This window comes from Homo sapiens, chromosome 1, assembly GCF_000001405.40.
Source record: "Homo sapiens chromosome 1, GRCh38.p14 Primary Assembly".
Classification (NCBI taxonomy): domain Eukaryota; kingdom Metazoa; phylum Chordata; class Mammalia; order Primates; family Hominidae; genus Homo; species Homo sapiens.
This window is the reverse complement of record NC_000001.11, coordinates 44,872,419-44,894,155: the sequence shown is the minus strand read 5'-3', so window position 1 is coordinate 44,894,155 and position 21,737 is coordinate 44,872,419. Positions and strand designations below refer to the sequence as shown.

The 21,737-nt window shown below is 44.6% G+C and overlaps 1 protein-coding gene across 6 annotated transcripts in view, besides 4 other annotated features; it reads left to right on the top strand.

Annotated features, from left to right (window-relative positions):
- Positions 1 to 21,737, top strand: part of EIF2B3 (eukaryotic translation initiation factor 2B subunit gamma) — a 136,074-nt gene that overhangs the window by 92,440 nt on the left and 21,897 nt on the right. For 5 of the 6 annotated variants that reach the window (XM_047433500.1, XM_047433499.1, NM_001261418.2 and 2 more), the window contains 4 exons: positions 12,417 to 12,544; positions 14,148 to 14,338; positions 18,461 to 18,538; positions 19,330 to 19,478. In XM_047433500.1, coding sequence (XP_047289456.1) covers positions 12,417 to 12,544; positions 14,148 to 14,338; positions 18,461 to 18,538; positions 19,330 to 19,478 — 546 coding nt within the window. Of the gene's footprint in view, positions 1 to 12,416; positions 12,545 to 14,147; positions 14,339 to 18,460; positions 18,539 to 19,329; positions 19,630 to 21,737 lie in introns of those variants that run through there. The other variant, NM_001166588.3, reaches the window with a different exon arrangement.
- Positions 3,812 to 4,012: a silencer, noted in NCBI's record as "peak197 fragment used in MPRA reporter construct". NCBI's record gives its function as "represses an SCP1 promoter by STARR-seq MPRAs in K562 erythroleukemia cells {active_cell/tissue: K562}" and the evidence as "EXISTENCE:reporter gene assay evidence [ECO:0000049][PMID:32103011]".
- Positions 16,246 to 16,917: an enhancer, noted in NCBI's record as "NANOG-H3K27ac hESC enhancer chr1:45342911-45343582 (GRCh37/hg19 assembly coordinates)". NCBI's record gives its function as "activates a minimal SCP1, AML or CMV promoter by ChIP-STARR-seq in primed H9 embryonic stem cells {active_cell/tissue: H9 hESC(primed)}" and the evidence as "EXISTENCE:reporter gene assay evidence [ECO:0000049][PMID:30033119]".
- Positions 16,918 to 17,589: an enhancer, noted in NCBI's record as "NANOG-H3K27ac hESC enhancer chr1:45342239-45342910 (GRCh37/hg19 assembly coordinates)". NCBI's record gives its function as "activates a minimal SCP1, AML or CMV promoter by ChIP-STARR-seq in naive H9 embryonic stem cells {active_cell/tissue: H9 hESC(naive)}" and the evidence as "EXISTENCE:reporter gene assay evidence [ECO:0000049][PMID:30033119]".
- Positions 17,590 to 18,261: an enhancer, noted in NCBI's record as "H3K27ac hESC enhancer chr1:45341567-45342238 (GRCh37/hg19 assembly coordinates)". NCBI's record gives its function as "activates a minimal SCP1, AML or CMV promoter by ChIP-STARR-seq in naive H9 embryonic stem cells {active_cell/tissue: H9 hESC(naive)}" and the evidence as "EXISTENCE:reporter gene assay evidence [ECO:0000049][PMID:30033119]".

The following is a 21,737-nucleotide window of genomic DNA, read 5'->3' as shown; positions in this document are numbered from 1 at the left end:
CTTGATAACTGAGTGTTCCTCCCTGTTTTATAATGTCAGCTGGTTTAAGCCTAAAGAAGCTGATCTCTTAGGAGATCTAGAAGCCCAGGTATTGGCCCAGCTCTTTGCTTGCCTTAGTAGGAGCTGCTCCTAGACCTGAGTCAGGGCCCTAGATTGTCACTGGCCCTATGAAGGACTCAAGCAATATGCCAATATGCCAGCTTTGTGAGCTAAAGCCATGGGCAATATATACCAGGCAATGTATACCAGGATTAGTCTTGATTTCCTTTTAGTATAGAACCTCCCCCGCTCCCCACCCCCACCAGCCCCATTTATCTTTCTCTCTTTAAGAGACTTAAAGATTAGTCTCCTTAACAGGGAGAATTGAGGCTGATTACTTCCTTCTTGTCCAGAAGTATCCACGGTTACAGTCAGCCTCTTATAGTGTTAGAATCTGATATTGCCATGCAGTACTTACAGTCTTGGGGTTGGACCTTCAGAGCAGGAAGAGAGAGGAAAGAAGAAAATTTAACCACCTACTGTGTACCAGGCACTGTGCTGGGTGCTTTTCACATATATTCATTTCTTACAATAGTTCTCTCATTAGGTATTATACTCATATTATAGAGGAAGATAATGCTCAAAAGTCATTTGCTCAATATCATGCAGCCACAGCCTCAACAAAATCCATCACTGTTTAATTGATTGCCAGCAACATCCACCACAGATGTCGGATATCTCTGTTGCCAACATGCTTATATGCACATGCACATGATTTGCACTTGAAAGAGTAACAGAGCAGTCACAACTTCCTTGCCTCAGCTATGTCAGGATACAGAGAAATAAGGATAGGACCCACAAAGTGAAGTCAAGAGTTGGGGATAGGCAGCCATGGCAAGGTCAGAATCAAGGTAATAATTAAAGCCACATACAAAATGAAGTTATGTTAGCTGGGCATGATGGCATATACCTCTAGTCTCACCTACTCAGGAGGCTGAGGCAGGAGGACCACTTGAGCCCATGAGGTTGATGCTACAGTGAGCTATATATGATGGCACCACTGCACTCCAGCCTGGTAGACAGAAAGAGACCCTGTCTCTAAAAGAAAGTTAAAAATTAAAAAAGATGAAAGTGTAGAATAGCTAGAAAGCCACGAGTAAGCACAAGACAGCAGAGTGGAGATAAGCAGAGATGAGGGACCAGATAGTGCTGTGAGAGGCTGGCAGTAGTAGTCTTGGTTTCTTACTGTTCAGTTCAGGCATCCATTGATTTGGCTGTACTTGGTTTCCTTACATATCCTTAGATGTCCTAGAGATTGCACAATGTGTCCTTTACTTCAATAACAACAAAATTAAGCTAAGAGTATGTGACTTACACACCTTCTCAACAGGGCTGTTATTGGGTGGCTGCATACTGATATCTGAAGATGCAGGTGCTGCCAAGATTAAATCAAGGTAGTCTCCTTTGAACTTCCTAGTTGCATTCATTTTTATCTCTGGGACTTCTAGAAATATTAGTAATATTAGTAATAGAGAAACGTATTTAGAATTCATTACATTTCCAAATTAGGAAAGCTTTACTTTTTTTTTTTAAGAGACAGGATCTTGCTCTTTCGCCAGGCTGGAGTGGAGTGCAGTGGTGTGATAACAGCTCACTGCAGCCTCCACCTCCTGGGCTTAAGTGATCCTCCCTCCTCAGCCTCCCGAGTAACTGGGACTACAGGCACTCACCACCATGACTGGCTAATTTTCTTATTTTTTGTAGAGATGGGGTCTCAATATGTTGCCCAGGCTGGTCTCAAACTCCTCGGCTCAAGAGATCCTCCCACCTAGGCCTCCCAAAGAGCTGGGATTACAAGTGTGAGCTACCAGGCCCAGCCAAGAAAGCTCTACCTTCTGTATCCAAAAATCTGTGTGTTTATGGGTAAAGAGACAGCAAGCAGAGAATTCTAAATCCTGTGGAAAGTGCTTTGGTTGAACTAAGCACAAGATGCTAGTTAATATGGTATAGTGGAAAGAGCCATGGACTATAGGACAGATGTGGAGTGACTTTCAATTCTATCAGTTATAAAAGTTGTATTAACCCTAGGCAAGATAGTTAACCTCTCTAAGCCTTGATTTCCTTCTTTATAAAATAGGGGCCAGGTGCAATAGCTCACGCCTGTAATCCCAGCATTTTGGGAGGCTAAAGTGGGAGGATGGGCTGAACTCAGGAGTTCCAGACCAGCCTAGGCAACATAGCAAGATGCCATCTCTACAAAAATTACAAAACATAAAATAAGAATAGTAATACCTATCATAAGCATTGCTATAAGAACTTGAAATGATCTGTATTATTTTCCTAGCATAGTACCTCAGACATGATACCTCCTCACACATGATCAAAAAGCAGTACATATAACTGTCTTTACTGTGAGAGCATAGAAGCCTACAAATGTTATAAAAGGCTTCCAAGCAGAGATCATATTTGAGAAGGGTGTTATGACTTGATAAATTTTCACAAAGTGAACATACCTTATGAGTACTATATTCAGGTTAAGAAACAGAACATTGCCAGAATTCCAGAAACTCCCCTCATTCTATCCCCCTACCCCACCACATACACAAAAGTAATCACTATCCTGAGCATTAAATAAGTGTAAGGAGATGGGATGAGATTTGTACTTTAGAAAAATCACTGTGTCTACAAAATAGAGGATGGATTGAAGGAAGAAGAGACATGATCAGATTGTACTTCAGAAATATTCTGTCAGCTGGGTGCGGTGGCTCATGCCTGTATTCCCAGCACTTTGGGAGGCTGAAGCAGGAAGGATTACTTGGAGGTAGGCAGGAGGATCACTGGAACCCAGGAGTTCACGACCAGCCTGGGCAACTTAGGGAGACCTCATCTCTACAACAAATTTAAAAATAAAAAAATTAGCATGGTGGCACATGCCTGTAGTCCCAGCTACTTAGGAGGCTGAGGTGGGAGGATTACTTGAGCCCAGGAGGTCAAAGCTGCAGTGAGCCATGATAACACCACTGCACTCCAGCAGCCTGGGTGACAGAATGAGACCATCTTTAAAAAAATTTAAAAATTTAAAAAAAGTCTCTTTTTTTTCCCATCTACCGTATGAAGGATAGATTTTGTGGATAAAACTAGAGGGAGAGAGACCAATTAAAAGCAGGTACAGGAATCCAGGCAAATGATGACAGTAGTCTGGACCAGGCAGTGGCAGTAAAGATGAAGAGAAGTTGAAAGTCTTGACAGAGATTTAGGGGATAGAATCAGCAGTGCTTGGTGATTGATTATATGTGAGGAGTGGAAGAAGAAGTCAGGCTGTTTTGTGAAAGGGCCATTTATCACAAAGCAACCCCCAAATGCAGAAGGAGCTGAGAAACCAAAGAAGAAGGCAGACAAATCTAGTTTGACAGTTTTGGATGATTTATTAGGGCAACTTATAGACAGAGTCGTGGTCTTGGGTGGGTGCAAGACAGGTAGATCTCCACACTGCAACCCCCCAGACCCAGAGCCTATACCTTGGGGAAAAAAAACATATATGCTTTGGAAGGAATTTTCGAAAGTCAAAGCAGTTTATGACCTTAAGGCATTTAGCAAACCTAATATCTGACCTGCCTAATTTAGACCAAATGTCTTTATTTTACCAATAATCTTTAACATTTTTTATTTCCCAAAGATTACTAAAGTTACGTGAACTAAAAGGCATTACAGTTTTTATTTTTTTCAAAATATTTTATTTAAGTGCTTATTTTTCTTTATGCCAATTAATTAGAGCTTTTACATAAGCATCACACACATAACATATGTATAAACTACACAGACAGACAGAAGAAGATCCAGTAGTTGTAAGATTTTTCATTTGCCAGTTTCTTAATTGGATTACTGGCCTCACGGTAGAGCCCTTCAAGAAACAGGTCTAGGAAAACATGCAGTTTCTGGGGCCTAATAAGCAGGCACAGCTGGAAGACAAAAACAGACCCCCAAAATCAAGAGTCCCGTTTTTATATCAGATCCTGGATCCCAAAAAGAGGGAATTAGCCCATCTCCCATGAGAGTCTTATCTCTCAGTGAGGAGTGGGAACATTTCCATAACTTCTAGGTGGCCAAGAGCATGCTTCTCTGATGTAAACATGCAAAGAGCCACGTATTCCCTGATAACTGCCATTAGCCATTGTCAAAAGTATATTTAGCCTTAGATTTTCAGAGGAATCTATCCACCACCCATTCCTGGGGTTTTATGAGGAAAACAGAGTTTTTTCCCAGAACAGGGTCTGTGACATCTCCTCTGTTTTTCACAAGGAGTCCCAGTCTATTAGAGCTTGAATATCCACTTTTAATTAAGCTGACTGGCCAGATGCAGTGGCTCACACCTGTAATCCCAGCACTTTGGGAGGCCAAGGCAGGTGGATCACTGGAGGTCAGGAATTTGAGACCAGCCTGGGCAACATGGTGAAACCCCATCTCTACTAAAAATATAAAAATTATCCAGGTGTGGTGGCGTGTGCCTGTAATCCTAGCTACTCAGGAGGCTGAGAATCGCTGGAACAAAGCAAGACTCCTTTTCAAAAAAAAAGATAAAAAACAAAGTAAATAAAAATAAAAGCACTATGGTTAAAAGTCAGCTTAATTTTTTTTTTTTTAAGATGGATCCTCGCTCTGTCACCCAGGCTGGAGTACAGTGGCATAATCTCAGCTCACTGCAACCTCCACCTCCCAGGTTCCAGCAATTCTCCTGCCTCAGCTTCCTGAGTAGCAGGGATTACAGGCACAGGCCACCACACCCGGCCGGTGTTTTGTATTTTTAGTAGAGATGCCATTTCACCATGTTCACCAGGCTGGTCTTGAACTCCTGACCTCAAGTGATCCACCCGCTTCAGCCTCCCACAGTGCTGGGATTACAGGCGTGAGCCACCACTCCTAGCCATAGGACTCTTTTAAAAAGCACTTTTAAATTTCTTATTACCCGACTCTAGCCACACTGACAATATTTCTGGCTTTTGAACTTAACCAAAGGTAACTTCCCAGGTGCTTAGGGAAAGGAAAATTCAAGATGGTTCATGGAGGGAAAGATAATCAACTAACAGTAAAGGTCACACAGATATCAAACCAGAAAGGACTCATTCCCTAAGCCAGGAATTGAACCCAGGGCATCACTGTGAAAAGTCAAAGCCTTAGCTGCTGAGCTACAGCACTGGTGGTTTCCATTGCTCTTCCCACTGTTCCCAGAAGGAATCTAAAATAGTTAATTTTGTGCTTGCAAAGGCTTTTAACTACTCAAGATAATTTTTAGAGCTAGCTATGACATGAATCCCAGAATTCCTGTTCCCTGGAAGGAAGAGACCGAGAGACATTATGGCCACATGGTTACAAGGTCAAGTTGCCAAGGACATAAAACCAGATGGAGACCTCACCCAGTTTTTTTGTTTGTTTCAAGGACCTGCAGTAAAATTTATTACCAGCTTGCTGGGCCGTCTTGAGCAGTTTATGGGGTCCTAAGCCCCTGTTCTATCCTAAGGTACCCTTCTTTATGACAGAACAACACAGACAAATTCATAGCACAAAATACATTAGATTCGTTACAACTTAATATGAGCCTCAGAATTTTTTCTCATTAATCAAAACTTTACAGAGGAGATAAACAGTGATTTTTACCATTCATTCAGCCAATTTGCACAGAGAGAGAGAGAGAGAGAGAGAGAGAGATTGAGAAGCCATAAGTCTGACTGGCAAGAAATTTTTACCCCTTTGCCGGCATGTCCCGTTTCTGGGTTCCCCTTCCCTGAGCGGCCCTAGCGACCCTGCTTGCCACACCATCGCTCCTGGGGCCAAGCTGCATCACAAAGGAAAATCATGGAACCACAGGCAAAATCCTCTAAATTTTGTAAGTTGCCGCCCAAACGGCTGCATGGGGGACCTGAATTCTAATATTTTCCATTCTGGACGTAGCAAAATACATGTGACAAAACATAGACATTAGCCACCATATGGATGCTTAGCACCCAATATTGAACTGGCAAGGCCCAAACTTGCCCCCAGTTGGGCCCTGTCATCTGTATCCATTTTTAACCAAGAGGGACTTTATTGAGGGAAGGGCCTCTCACCCAATCCCATCCTTTACTCAGGTAAAATGTATCCCCATTACGTATCCAAAGTCAGCCAATTGGTGCTGCAGACTGTTTCTTTTGGGTCAGATAGTAACTAAGCTAAAAGATTAGTAAATCTAATTTTTTAATCAATTAGTCATTTAGGTGCCTTTCATAAAGTCTTTTTTTTTGGGGGGAGACAGAGTCTGGCTCTGTCGCCCAGGCTGGAATGCAGTAATGCCATCTCAGCTCACTGCAACCTCTGCCTCCCGAGTTCAGGCATGCCTCAGCCCCCCGAGTAGCCAGGATTACAGGCCTGCGCCACCATGGCTGGCTAATTTTTGTACTTTTAATAGAGATGGTGTTTCACCATGTTGACCACCCGCCTTGGCCTCCCAAAGTGCTGGGATTACAGATGTGAGCCATCGCGCCCGGCCTTCATAAAGTCTTTAAATAAAAATATTGAAATCTTTTTAGAAGCGTCTGCATATCAGTAAGCATCCCTAGATGAGTCTCAATGCACTTCAGTGCATTGTTCATTCGGAACGTTCTACTGTAAGTTATCTTTAGTAAGATTTCGCCATTTCTGTAAGACTTCACTGCTTACCAGCTAATGTATAAGCTGGAAGGAATTCAGTTTTCCAAAAATGAAGGATCCCATTTTTACCTAAAATATTTGCTTTGCTCTCAGGTTCCCTTGATGAATTTAGCCAATGATTTTTCCTACCTAAGCACACAAGAAAAATGAAACAAAGGGGTAGAACACAAACATCCCTGTGAATTTTCAAGAGCCAAATTTTACAACCCCTACAGTATTACCATTTACAACCAGTTTCTTTCTGACCCAGTCAGATGTAAGAAGCCAAGTAATTAGCTGGATCCAAGCCAGCTAATTACTGGATCAAGTCCAATCCTGGACCCACTCAAGTTTCTCTTGTGACTTCCAAACCTAGTTTGGATCAGAAATTTGCTCAAAGAAACTTGGACAGCTCAAAACACAAATCCTTGGAGCTCTGAAATCTGAGAGAGAGCTTACCCACAATCCCCAGTCACTCTGAGAGATCAATGGACATAAGTGGGTCCTTGCAGGTACCTTGCTTGTTCACTCAGCGCTCCTGGGGTTGTTAAAGCTCTACTTCAGATCCCACTTCTGACACCATCTGTAGAAAGAAAAGCTGAATTAAGTTTAAAGGAGTTTAATTGAACAATTAATGATTCATGAATTAGGAAGCCCCCAGAATCACAGCAAATTCAGAAAGACTCCAAGGATGCCTCATGGTCAGAGGCATTTGACAATTTTTAGACAAAAAAAGGAAGTGACGTACAGAAATCAGAAGTGAGGTACAAAAACAACTGGATTGGTTACAGCTCGGCATTTGCCTTATTTGAACACGGTTTGAACACTCAGCAGTGTATGAGTAGTTGAATTATGGCTGCTGGGATTGGCCAATTCTCAGCTATTAGTACAGGCACATACTCCTAAGTTAGGTTTTCAGTCTCATCTACCTATTAAGTTAGGATGCAGTTTGTCCACAAGGACTCAAATATAGAAGTATGAAGTCCTTCTCAGGCCATATTTAGTTTGCTTTAACATTCATAATTCCACTACTGTGAGATAACTATTGTGAACATTTTAGTGTATTTGTTTCCATTGTTTTATTTTCATATATATAGTAAGAATACATGCTTGAAATCACACTTTAAAAATAATCGGGGTCGGGCACAGTGGCTAACGCCTGTAATCCCAGCACTTTGGGAGGCTGAGGCAGGTCAGATCATGAGGTCAGGAGTTCGAGACCAGCCTGGCCAACATGTTGAAACCCCGTCTCTACTAAAAATACAAAAAATTAGCCCAACATGGTGGCAGGTGCCTGTAATCCCAGCTACTCGGGAGCTTGAGGCAGGAGAATCGCTTGAACCCAGGAGGCGGAGGTTGCAGTGAACCGAGACCGTGCCACTGCATTCCAGCGAGACTCTATCTAAAAAAACAAAAATTTGCTTTTTTCATTGAGTGTTATAAGCATTTTATTCTATCATTAAAGAATTCTTGGCCAGGCACGGTAGCTTACGCCTGTAATCCCAGCACTTTGGGAGGCTGAGGTGGGCGGATCACGAGGTCAGGAGTTCAAGACCAGCCTGACCAACATGGTGAAACCCCATCTCTACTAAAAATACAAAAAAAAAAAAAAAAATTAGCCAAGCGTGGTGTCAGGCACCTGTAATCCTAGCTACTCAAAAGGCTGAGGCAGGAGAATCACTTGAACCTGGGAGGCGGAGGTTGCAGTGAGCCAGGATCGTGCCATTGCACTCCAAGCGAGACTGCGTCTAAAAAAAAAAAAAATTCTTTACAGTCACAGTTTTGCCTATATGACATTCTGTTATAGAGGTATTTTGATCTATCATTGTTGAATATTTTATTGTTCTCCATTTTTATAAATAACGGGAATACCTTTTTTTGAAAGATTCTTGTTTATAATCTGATGATTTCATCTATTCAGCAAATATTTACTGAGTAATATATTTTCCTTAGGATAGACTTATAGAAATGGAATTACAGGGTGAAATTATATGAATATCTTCAAGTCTTTTGCTATAATGTTGCCAATTATTTTTCAGAGATTTTATCAGTTTATACTCCGACTCCCATTATGTGACAGTAACGGTTCTCAAAGCACTCTTATCAGTAATGAAAATTGTTTTGAATCAGTTAATTTAGTTGGAGGAGAAATTGCATCTTATTTTAGTTTTTTACTTCTTTGAAAATATTTTATATGTTTTTTTAACACATATCTGTTTATTAAGAATATTCTTTGCCCTATTCATAGCAATTATTTTGTCTTTTTATTTGGTGGGATTGTTTGCTAGTAGTCAAGTCTATTGTTCTCCTTTGTGATTGCTTGAGAAGAGCTTATGATTTCATGAGATAAGACAGGTGTTTCTAGGAAGGCTGTGTATAAGAGGGAAAGGAGAAAGTAAGGTTGACCAGGGCACTGTATCCAGCAAGTGGCCTAGGCCCAGGATGTTCACAATGGTTCACTGTAGCTTTGTAACATTTCTTGGCACAGCTCTGAGCTGCCTGCACTTTAACTAGGAAGCAGGAAGAGTAATTGTTTCCTTCATTATGTTTCTAAGTCAACTGCATCATGGGGATTGACCTAATGTTGAGCTCCAGCAGAGGTGGGTGGGACCTGGCAGGGCTGTTTCATAGCCTCTCTTCAAATCATGGATCCTCTCGAAGGTTCTGCCTGATGGGGCCATGTGCCAAGGCTCGTCTGCTTGCCTCTTGCAGTGACAGTTCTTTTTGGTCTGTAATGTAAATATCATGGCCCTGAAATCCCCTAGCTGTCCGTGCTTTGTCACTTCTTCAAAGGGAACTGACTTGTTTTCCAATGGAGGAGGAACATTTGCTGCCTACACTGGTTTGAAGCATTAAAAGGGGAGAAAAAGAGCTAAGAGTAAGTGTTGCTTCATTCTTTGTATTCACATGGAAATTTTTAAATCTTCATCAAAGGATCAGGAGAAAAATCACATTGAAATTCAATACAAGAGCTCACAGCTTAACACAGAATTTTTCAAAATTGATTCTTTAAAAATTGCAGAAACTATGAACTGTGTAGCTCCAGGGTTCATAGTTTTCCTTACCCTCCTCAGCCTCTGCCTCTGTCTTGCCTTCCTTTCTACCTACACTCCATCTGTTTGGTTTTGTGTCAGCATGCAGAGCTTTGAATGGGGGCTGGGAGAGGTGGTGGGAAGTATGCAGCAAGTCAGGTTTATAGAGCTGCCCATACTTTCACCCCTCTCTCAGGCCTCATTATCTCATCTCTCAGAATATTGTAACTGGTCTCCCTTTCTTCAGTTTCCTTATTCCAGGCTTTCTTCCACATTGCTACCAGAATTACCTTAATAAGAGATAAAACTGTTCATGTCACTTTCTTGCTTAAAAACTACCACTGGCAGCCAGGTGCGGTGGCTCACACCTGTAATCCCGGCACTTTGGGAGGCTGAGGTGGGAGGACTGCTTGAGTCCAGGAGTTCAAGACCAGCCTGGGCAACATAGTGAGACTTTGCCTCTACAAATAATAAAAAAATTAGCTGGGCATGGTGGCACATGCCTGTGGTCCCAGCTACTTGGGAGGCCAAGGCAGGAGGATCACTTGAGCCCAGGTAGTCAAGACTGCAGTGAGTTGTGATTGCACCACTGCACTCCAGCCTGGGCAGCAGAGCAAGACCCCGTCTAACAAGGAAAAATTACCACTGGCTTCTCAGTCCAGACTTTCTAGACTGCTACTGTAACTCCTCAGTGGGTTCATCTTACCTGCTGCCGAGATAGAGACGATTTATCAAGATGGGAGAATTGCAATAAAGAGTTTAATACACATAGAGGCAGCTAAACGGGAAACCAGAATTTTATTATTACTCAAATCAGCCTCCCCCAGAATTCTGAGGCTAGGGTTTTTCAAGGATGGTTTGGTGGGCAGGGGTCTAGGGAATGAGTGCTGCTGATTGGTTGGGGATGCAATCATAGGGGTGTGGAAACCAGTCCTCTGCTGAGCCCAGTTTTGGATGGGGGCCACAGAGGGGTCACTGGTCCCAGTGGAGTCATCCAGTCATCAGAAATGCAAAAGTCAGAAAAGACATCTTAAAAAGCCAATCTTAGGTTCAACAATAGTGATGTTACTTACAGGAGTAACTGGGGAAGTTGCAAATCTTGTGACCTTTGGAAAAATGATTGGTAATCATGAGAATTCAGGCCCCTCTTGTAATCCTAAATTTGTACGCTTTTATTAGTTTTATAAAGGCAGTTTCATTTTGAGAAGGGCTATTATCATTTAAACTATAAACTGTAATAAATTTCTGGCTAGGCATGGTGGCTCACACCTGTAATCCTAGCATGTTGAGAGGCCGGAGCAAGCGGATCACCTGAGGTCAGGAGTTCAAGACTCCTGACCTCAGGATGGTCAACATGACGAGACACCATCTCTACTCAAAATACAAAAATTAGCCAGGCATGGTGGCCGGCGCCTGTAATCCCAGCTACTTGGGTGGCTGAGGCAGGAGAATCACTTGAACTGGGAGGTGGAGGTTGCGATAAGCCAAGATCGCACCGCTACACTCCAGCCTGGGCCACAGAGCGAGACTCCATCTCAAAAAAAAAAAAAAAAAAAGAAAAAGAAAAAAAAGTCAGGCACAGTGGCTCATGCCTGTAATCCCAGCACTTTAAGAGGCTGCAGCAGGCGGATCACTTGAGGCCAGGAGTTTGAGACCAGCTTGGCCAACATGGCAAAACCCCATCCCTACCAAAAAATACAAAAACAGCCAGGCATTGTGGCATGTGCCTGTAGTCCCAGCTACTTGGGAGGCTGGAGCACAAGAATCACTTGAACCCAGGAGGCAGAGGTTGCAGTGAGCTGAGATCATGCCACTGCACTCCAGCCTGGGCGATAGAGCAAGACTGTCTCAAAAAAAAAAAAAAAATTAGCCAGGCATGTGGCTCTCACACCTGTAATCCCAGCTTTCCAGCCACTCAGGAGGCTGAGGTGGGAGAATCACTTGAACCTGGGAGGCAAAGGTTGCAGTGAGCTGAGATCGCACCACTGTACTCCAGCCTGGGCAACAGACAGAGTGAGACCCTGTCTCAGAAAAAAAAAAAAAAAAGTTTTCTCCCAAAGTTAGCTCAGCCTATGTCCAGGAATGAGCAAGAGCAATTTGGAGGTTAACAGCAAGATGGAGTTGATTAGGTCAGATTTCTTTCACTGTCATAATTTTGTCACTGTTATTTTTGCAAAGGTGGTTTCACCACAAAAAGCTTTCGTGATCTGGCCCCCTTGCCTACCTGATTAGCTTAACCTTCTGCTTTTCCTCTTAAACTCATACAGGCTACTGTCCATTGGATTATGAATTCCTTGAAGTCAGAAATGATGTATTTCCAAGGCCTAGCACAGTAACTCGCATATGCTTGGTAAATGCTACATAAATTAATTAGCAATATAAAATTCTAATAAGGTCACAGTGTGAGAGAACACTGAAAAACATGTGCTAGTTTCTCATCTCTCTGCTTTCCATTGCTAAGTATAAATAAAAACATAAATAAAAAACACACACTGAACTAAAGATCAGGTCCCTTCTTCCCCTAGTACAGATTCCTGATCACTTAGACCCAACATCCTGTCTCAGTACCCACCAGGAAGCACTCTGCTTCTCCGAACTGCCAAGTCAATGCCACATTTGATCTCTGACAGTCCCAAGGTGCCATGACAGGAAAGGATTTGGCTTTTCCTTGTATGCACAGAGCTTTTGATCCGGGTATGTTCCAGACAGTCAGGTTTCTCATATTTGGCCATTCTTTCTTTCTAGGTCAATAACTTCTATCCGGAGTGAACTGATTCCATATTTAGTGAGAAAACAGTTTTCCTCAGCTTCCTCACAACAGGGACAAGAAGAAAAAGAGGAGGATCTAAAGAAAAAGGAGCTGAAGTCCTTAGGTCAGTTCTTGGGTTGGTTCAGTAAGAGGGGCAAGGGTAGCAGCACCTTTGGAAAGAGTGGTTGGGCAGCTTAGCCCAGCCCAAGATGCCTGACTCAAGGCAGCAGACTATTTCTAGCCTACGAGGCAAGACAGGCTTGCCAACCCACTGAGCTCTGGGTAAGCTTGCTCAGGCAGATTCTGCCACTGTGCTCTCGGCAACAGGCTAATCATGCCTCCAGCCCCATTCTCTGATTCATAGCTCTGGTTTGGCTGTGTTCCTCACTAGACCATTTTGCCTTTAAACTCCACCTGCCACTTCTTAGTTCCCCTGTTCTCTAGGCTCTAGGCAGCCCCGTTCCTGATTAAACTCAACCTCTTTTATCAAGGGAAGGAAAGTGAAGGAATGTACAATTGCAGTCCAACCACAGGCCAACCCAGGTGTCTCCGTGCCAGGATCTGAAGATCGGATCTGTCTTGTTTGCTGTCATATCCCTAATCCCCGGCCCAGTCGTGGACTCATAGTAGATATTCTGAAAAAGTATTTATCAAATGAATACACTGACAGTACAGCATGATGATTAGGACTGTAGAACTGGGCATCAGACAGTTCTGGATTTGAAATCTGACTGCCTCTTACTAGCATTGTGTCTTTTTTTTTTTTTATTTTTTTGAGACGGAGTCTCCCTCTGTCGCCCAGGCTGGAGGGCAGTGGCGCAATCTCGGCTCACTGCAAGCTCCGCCTCCCGGGTTCACGCCATTCTCCTGCCTCAGCCTCCCCAGCAGCTAGGACTACAGGCACACGCCACCACGCCCGGCTAATTTTTGTATTTTTAGTAGAGACGGGGTTTCTCTGTGTTAGCCAGGATGGTATCGATCTCCTGACCTCATGATCCACCCGCCTCGGCCTCCCAAAGTGCTGGGATTACAGGCATGAGCCACCGTGCCCGGCCAGCATTGTGTCTTGAGGCAGGTTACTCAGTCCTCTGAGCCCCAGTTTTTTTATGAGAAAGTAAAAGATCTCAAAGGATCGTTGTAAGAGCTGAAAAACTAGAGCCCTGGTACTCTGGGCTCCAAGTTCTGTACTTTCTGTCATAGCACAGCTACCAGATATGGTAATAGAGACTAGCAGCACAAAGTCAACCTGGCTGGCCACTAAAGCCTGGATGCTGGCTTGTGTTATTTCATGATTTACAAGGGTCATCTGTTTTATTTTCCCTAGTGGTCTTGATTACCGGTCACATGCTTTTAGGACCTCGTATTAAGCATTTTTATATCATATGATATTTTAGGGAAGTACATTTCCTCTTTTAGTTTGACTTTCTCTTACAGATTTTAGTGGGATTTCCTCAGGGTTCATGTTTTGTGGGTGAGTTTCAAAGGAAGAAGTGTGAGCTGTAATCTCTTTTAAAACTTAGAGCCAAGCATGGTGGTGCACACCTGTAGTCCCAGCTGCTCAGGAAGCTGAGGTGGGAGGATCCCTTGAGTCTGGGAGTTTGAGACCAGCCTAGGCAACATAGCAAGACCTCGTCTCTTAAATAAACAAAAAAACAACTTGACTGAGTCTGTATCTGTTCTGTTATCTCTCTCTCATTTATTTCCTTGGTTGGGTGTTTGTTCTGAAGATATCTACAGTTTTATAAAAGAAGCCAATACACTGAACCTGGCTCCCTATGATGCCTGCTGGAATGCCTGTCGAGGAGACAGGTGGGAAGACTTGTCCAGATCACAGGTGCGCTGCTATGTCCACATCATGAAAGAGGGGCTCTGCTCTCGAGTGAGCACACTGGGACTCTACATGGAAGCAAACAGACAGGTGAGAGCATGAGTTAGAAAATCATGGGGCTCTTGTCCTAGAAACAGACTGAGCCACTTGTCTGTTTCTTCATTAGGTACATAGTAACTTGTTAAGAATCCCTGTCATTCCCAAGGTTGAGCAAGACCTGGCACGTCAAGGGAGACTACTAGGGTACTCAGGTGCAGCAAAAAGGGAAGCAGGGGGCCTGGTCCATAGTCAGGGCCTCTATGGCTCCAGGGAAAGGCTAAGATCTTCAGGAAGGCTAACTTCTGGCCTTTGGGTCAGCAGGTTCCTCCTGTTCTGTTCAGCATGGGGATATCTGCAGTACTTACTTCATAATAAGCAGGTAAATACTCTGTAATCATTACTCTGATGAAGTAAACATAGGCATACAGAGGAGGCTTCCCTGAGAAGGTGAAGGAGCAGAGTATAGAGTGGCCAGATGGCAAAGCCTCAGGAAAGGAATGACTTTGAGAGAGAATTGTCTGCAAACAGCATTAATGAGGAGTCTCTTGCTAGCCCCTCCTTTTAACCTTGAAGTTTGTGAGATATGGGGAACAAATAGCTTCCACTGAAGGAGAAGCAGTGTCCTCAAAGATAAGCCAGGCCTTAATGAAGGCAGGGGGTGGAGAGGGGGACAGTAAAGAGGCTGAAGGTATAAAGGAACTCTGTATTGTATAGTAGGCCCAGGAGGAAGGTTTTGGGAGGGAGGAATAATAAGACTAGGAAAAGGAAATGCAGAGCAGTAAAGGGTTTAGATGAGAATAAGAAAAGAGTCCGGGCACGGTGTCTTACGCCTATAATCCTAGCAATTTGGGAGGCCGAGGCAGGTGGATCGCTTGAGTCCAGGAGTTCGAGACCAGCCTGGGCAACATGGCAAAATCCTGTCTCTACAAAAATACTACAAAAATTAGCCAGGTATGGTGGCATGTGGCTGTAGTCCCAGTTACTTGGAAGGCTGAGGTGGGAGGATCACCTGAGCCTGGAATGCAGAGGTTGCAGTGAGCTGAGATTGCACCACCGCACTCCAGCCTAAGCCTAAGCAACAGAGTGAGACTCTGTATTAAAAAAAAAAAAAGAGGATAGGAAAAGATAAATAATTGAGGGAACTACATTGGGGTGGCATTCAAGGATAACAGAGGTGAGATAATGAAAAGATTAGTTATTGACATTGCTCCTGGTAGAACCCTGTGAAAATATAATTGCAGGTGTAGACCAGGGTGGCAGTGGAGCGCAGAATAATATAAAAGAAATTGTTGAAAATTGGGATTGAGGCCGGGCACAGTGGCTCACGCCTGTAATCCCAGCACTTTGGGAGGCTGAGACGGGTGGATCGCCTGAGGTCAGGAGTTCGAGACCAGGCTGGCCAACATGGTGAAACCCTGTCTCTACTAAAAATACAAAAATTAGCCAAGCATGGTGGCATGCACCTGTAATCCCAGCTTCTCAGGAGGCTGAGGCAGGAGAATTGCTTGAACCTGATAGGTGGAGGTTGCAGTAAGCTGAGATTGTGCCACTGCACTCCAGCCTGGGCAACAGAGTGAGACTCTGTCTCAAAAAAAAGAAAAAGAAAATTGGGATTGACTCCTGAAGAAAACCTGGCTCAGGAATCTGTAGGACCCACACCAGATAAAACCTCAGGTGAGCCTCAACCTGTATTGGTTACAGATCCAAGGGAGTCCCAAGCCAGAGAGCTTATGAGAAATCATAGCTAGTCCCACATTTACCCATGACTAGCATCTTTCACGCTGGTCTGGAAAGATGTTCATGGATAACCTGAGTGGGAAGACTTGTCCAGATCACAGGTGCACCGCTGTGTCCACATCATGAAAGAGGGACCCTGCTCTCGAGTGAGCATGCTGGGAAAAGTATCCTTTGAAGTGCCAACAGGGACTATGCAGCAGACGGGCCTGAAGGGCCTTGGGTGGAGTGTGGAAGAAGAGAACCTAGGGCTGGGGGCTTGGAATTAGCCTTCACATTCCAGTGTAGCCGTGCTGACAAGGCCTCCGTCAGCTAGTGTGGCTGCCACGCACAGTGCTCTGACCAGCATTCTGTCTATGCTGGAGAATCATAGACAGGCGCACTACCTGTGCCTTCCTAATAGACTGGTAGCCAAAGCCCCCCATACCTCTAACCTTTCCAGGTTTCTCACACTGGAGAGGGAATAGTGTGAACTTCCCCTTCATGTTTTCTTTTGGCTGGGGGATAGATGCCTTCTCAGGGTCTGTCCTTGATTTCGAATTTGTCTAAAATGGATCTCATCCTCACCTCATGCGTGGTCACAGTGGTCCAGGAGGTGACCAGGAACCCAGGATGCTTATGATCAGGATGCGGGGTGTTCCTTGACCTGATCAGGCCTCCTTTCCCAAGAGGTGGTATGTGGGTATCTCAAAGACTGGTCTCAGTGCCTCCCAGCCAAGGGACATGGCATTACTTTCAAGGAGGAGCATTCAAAGCTAAGAGACTGACAATAAGGCCATCTAGAAGCTGCTGCATAAATAATCTTGGTCCTAGGGGGAATGCAGCAGCCTCCTGCTCCCCCTCACTCAGACAGGAAGCTATGGCTGAGAACTCCCTGTATCTCTGATTGAGCACTGGGTTCTACCTAAGGTGTTTTTTTTTTTTTTTTTTTTTTTTTTTTTTATTGATCATTCTTGGGTGTTTCTCGCAGAGGGGGATTTGGCAGGGTCATAGGACAATAGTGGAGGGAATGTCAGCAGATAAACAAGTGAACAAAGGTCTCTGGTTTTCCTAGGCAGAGGACCCTGTGGCCTTCCGCAGCGTTTGTGTCCCTGGGTACTTAAGATCAGGGAGTGGTGATGACTCTTAACGAGCATGCTGCCTTCAAGCATCTGTTTAACAAAGCACATCTTGCACCGCCCTTAATCCATTTAACCCTGAGTGGACACAGCACATGTTTCAGAGAGCACAGGGTTGGGGGTAAGGTCGCAGATCAACAGGATCCCAAGGCAGAAGAATTTTTCTTAGTACAGAACAAAATGAAAAGTCTCCCATGTCTACTTCTCTCTACACAGACACAGCAACCATCCGATTTCTCAATCTTTTCCCCACCTTTCCCGCCTTTCTATTCCACAAAACCGCCATTGTCATCATGGCCCGTTCTCAATGAGCTGTTGGGTACACCTCCCAGAGGGGGTCGTGGCCGGGCAGAGGGGCTCCTCACTTCCCAGTAGGGGCGGCCAGGCAGAAGCGCCCCTCACCTCCCGGATGGGGCGGCTGGCCGGGTGGGGGGCTGACCCCCACCTCCCTCCCGGACGGGGTGGCTGCCGGGCGGAGACGCTCCTCACTTCCCAGACGGGGTGGCTGCCGGACGGAGGGGCTCCTCACTTCTCAGACGGGGCGGCTGCCAGGCAGAGGGTCTCCTCACTTCTCAGACGGGGCGGCCGGGCAGAGACGCTCCTCACCTCCCAGACAGGGTCGCGGCCAGGCAGAGGCGCTCCTCACATCCCAGACGGGGCGGCGGGGCAGAGGCGCTCCCCACATCCCAGACTATGGGCGGCCGGGCAGAGACGCTCCTCACTTCCTAGATGGGATGGCAGCGGGGAAGAGGTGCTCCTCACCTCCTAGATGGGATGGCGGCCAGGCAGAGACGCTCCTCACTTCCCAGACGGTGTGGCGGCCGGGCAGAGGCTGCAATCTCAGCTCTTTGGGAGGCCAAGGCAGGCGGCTGGGAGGTGGTTGTAGCTAGCCGAGATCACGCCACTGCACTCCAGCCTGGGCACCATTGAGCACTGAGTGAACCAGACTCCGTCTGCAATCCCGGCACCTCGGGAGGCCGAGGCTGGCGGATCACTCGCGGTTAGGAGCTGGAGACCAGCCCGGCCAACACAGCGAAACCCGTCTCCACCAAAAAAATACGAAAACCAGTCAGGCGTGGCGGCGCGCGCCTGCAATTGCAGGCAGTCGGCAGGCTGAGGCAGGAGAATCAGGCAGGGAGGTTGCAGTGAGCCGAGATGGCAGCAGTACAGTCCAGCTTTGGCTCGGCATCAGAGGGAGACCGTGGAAAGAGAGGGAGAGGGAGACCGTGGGGAGGGGGAGTGGGAGAGGTAGAGGGAGAGGGAGAGGGAGAGCTACCTAAGGTGTTTTCTGATCTTTAGTGACCAAATCTCTGTCCTTAAGGTGCCCAAATTGCTGTCTGCTCTCTGTCCAGAAGAACCACCAGTCCATTCGTCAGCCCAGATTGTCAGCAAACACCTGGTAAGTGCTAGTGTGGCCAGGACGGGCATGAGATGTTCTTTGGGAGCATCGAGACTTGTTTTTGAGAAGCCGGATTGAGGCCTTTAAGTCCTGAACCTCATCAGCCCCAGGGAAATCACAGTGGGTTCTGAGAATAAAATCTCACTCAACAAGACTGCCTGGGCAAGTAATGACCTTGTAAGGAAGGGTCCATTATAGTGTTGGGACTCAGACACAGGAGCTCTCAATCTCAGCCTGAAAGACTCTAGTCATGGGTAAATGTGGGACTACCTATGATTCTCATAAGCTCTCTGGCTTGGGACTCCCTTGGATCTGTAACCAATCCAGGTAGAGGCTCACCTGAGGTTTTATCTGGTATGGGTCCTACAGATTCCTGAGCCAAGTTTTCTTCAGGAGTCAGTCCCAATTTTCTTTTTCTTTTTTTTTGAGACAGAGTCTCACTCTGTTGCCCAGGCTGGAGTGCAGTGGCACAATCTGTCCCCCTTCTAACTCTGATTTGAGCACACTCTTTAAGAGAGCACATCTGTATACACAAGTGCATGAGTGTGTATATGTGTCTGTTGTTTTATTTTGTTTTCTTGGCAAGAGAGGAGGGCCCATGCTTCAAATAGGTTTGAGTTGGTCTCAGAGGTGTTGTATGACCTTGTGGCCCTGAGAAATACTGATCATGGTCCCTCTTGCTGAAGTGTCTCTATGGAAAGATCCCATTAGATCCCAGCTTGAGGGATCTGGAGGGTGGTTTGCAGTTGGTTGAGATGGGTGGACAGAGTTTTATATTTTGCCTTTTACAGGTTGGAGTTGACAGCCTCATTGGGCCAGAGACACAGATTGGAGAGAAGTCATCCATTAAGCGCTCAGTCATTGGCTCATCCTGTCTCATAAAAGATAGAGTGACTATTACCAATTGCCTTCTCATGAACTCAGTCACTGTGGAGGAAGGGTATGTTTCCCCCTGTACCCACTTGAGGCAAAGATAATGGAAAAATGCCTTCAAAATTCTGAAGGAAGGTTAATTTTAACCTAAAATTGTATACCCAGGCAAAGTGCTAATCAAGAGGGCAATAGAATAAAAACATTTTCAGATATCAAAAGTCTCAAAAACTTTACTAGGAAATTTATTCCTCTAAAATGGAAAATAAACCAAACAGAGAAAGATCAGAAACAAGAGATTCAACTCAGAAAAAGGGCAAAAAGAATCCATGGGATAACAGTGAACAGAGATAAGAATGACAGCTCTAAATGGGGCATAAAGGGATTAGTTAATCCAAACTGGAACAAAACCAAAGAATCCAGGAAAGATTTATTCAGCAAGATGCAACTGATAAAATACCAGATACATACAAACATTTGAAAGTCGATTTAGGCAACTGGCTAAAAGTTTGAAGTTGAATCGGGGATAACATAGAAAAAACAACACTATTTAACAAAAACAAGACTGTTATTAACTCTGGGAAAATGAAGAAGTTGTACAAGTTGAATATCCCTAATCCAAAAACCCAAAATCAAATGCTCCAAAATCCGAAACTTTTGAGCACCAACTTGACACTCAAAGGAAATTCTCACTGGAACATTTGAGAGTTCAGATTTTTGGGTTAGGGATGCTGAAACGGTAAGTATAATGCAAATATTCAAAAAAATTTTAAAAAATCCAAAATCTAAAACACTTCTGGCCCGGCACAGTGGCTCATGCCTGTAATCCCAGCATTTTGGGAGGCTGAGGCAGGTGCATCACCTGAGGTCAGGAGTTCGAGATTAGCCTGGCCAACATGGTGTAACCCCATCTCTACTAAAAATACAAAAAAAAAAAAAATTAGCCAGGTGTGGTGGTGTGCACCTGTAGTCCCAGCTACTCAGGAGGCTGAGGCAGGAGAATGGCTTGAACCCAGGAGGCAGAGGTTGCAGTGAGCTGAGATCGCACCACTGCACTCCAGCCTGGGTGACAGAGCAAGACTCTGTCTCAAAAAAAAAAATAAATAAATAAAAAATAAAACACTTCTGGTCCCAAGTATTTCAGATAAGGGATACATAACCTGTATAAGAAATGAAAAGACCATAGTTTGCTATGGATCAGCTACAAAATAGAATTTACATAGTCATAATAAACCTGACTACTGGCCAAAGTTATGCTATAACTCTATTGAAAGGATGAAAGATGGAAAGGGAAATGGGGGTAAGGGAGAAAGGAGAGCTAAATTCTCATTTTTCACTGTAGAAAGCCAATTGATAATGCCTAAAGCTGAAAAATAAAGAACTAGTAATACAATTATGTTAATACCTAGAGGCATGGAAGTAATACCAAATTACTCAGCAGAAAGAATTAAAAGAGTTGCCTCTGGGAAGAGGGAAATGAGGAATAGGGGTTGCAGGGGACTGCTGATTTTCATAACAAAATCTTCAGAAGTATTTGCTTTAAACTACTAATATCAGTTGGCCAAAAATATCCAGAGTTTTGTGGTACGCTGCTACCAGTGGTATGCTGATAAATTGTTGACAACCAGCCCTCCAAAGGAAAAAATAAGCGACATAATTCGAAACATTTGCTAATTTCTGTGGTGTAAATTATTCCACTATAGCCAATGATATCACCTAACGCTGAGTTGAGAAGAGATGCTAATAATTGCCTCTCCCAAGCTAAAACAAGCCAGCGTCAGCACACCACTAATAGAGACCCCTCTCAAGCATTTCACTGATTTATCAGATACTAACAGACCCACTCTCTGATTAAGATTGTGCTAGGCAGTGAAAGAAACAAAACGACATAAGTCTTAATCTCTTCCCTCAAGGAATTTATACTATGTGCAGTAAGAAGTGATAGGTGCTATGGTAGAGATCTGTAAGGTCAGAAGGGAGGAAAGGGTCAGGAAAGGCTTAAGGAAATGACCCTTGAGCTGAATCTTGGAAAATGAGTAGAGCCACCTGAGCTGGAGAAAGGAGTGGTTTTGGGGGTAGTGTTTTTTTGTTTTTTTTCAAGACAGGGTTTCCCTCTGTTGCCCAGGCTGGAGTACAGTGGCATGATCATAGCTCACTACAACCTCAAACTCCTGAGCTCCAACAGTCCTCCTGCCTCAGCTTCTCAGGTAGCTAGGACTACAGGCGCACACCACCAGGCCCAGCTAATTTTTTTAAAAAATTTTATAGAGATGGGGATTTTACTGTGTTGCCCAGGCTGGTCTTGAACTCCTGGCCTCAAGCAGTCCTC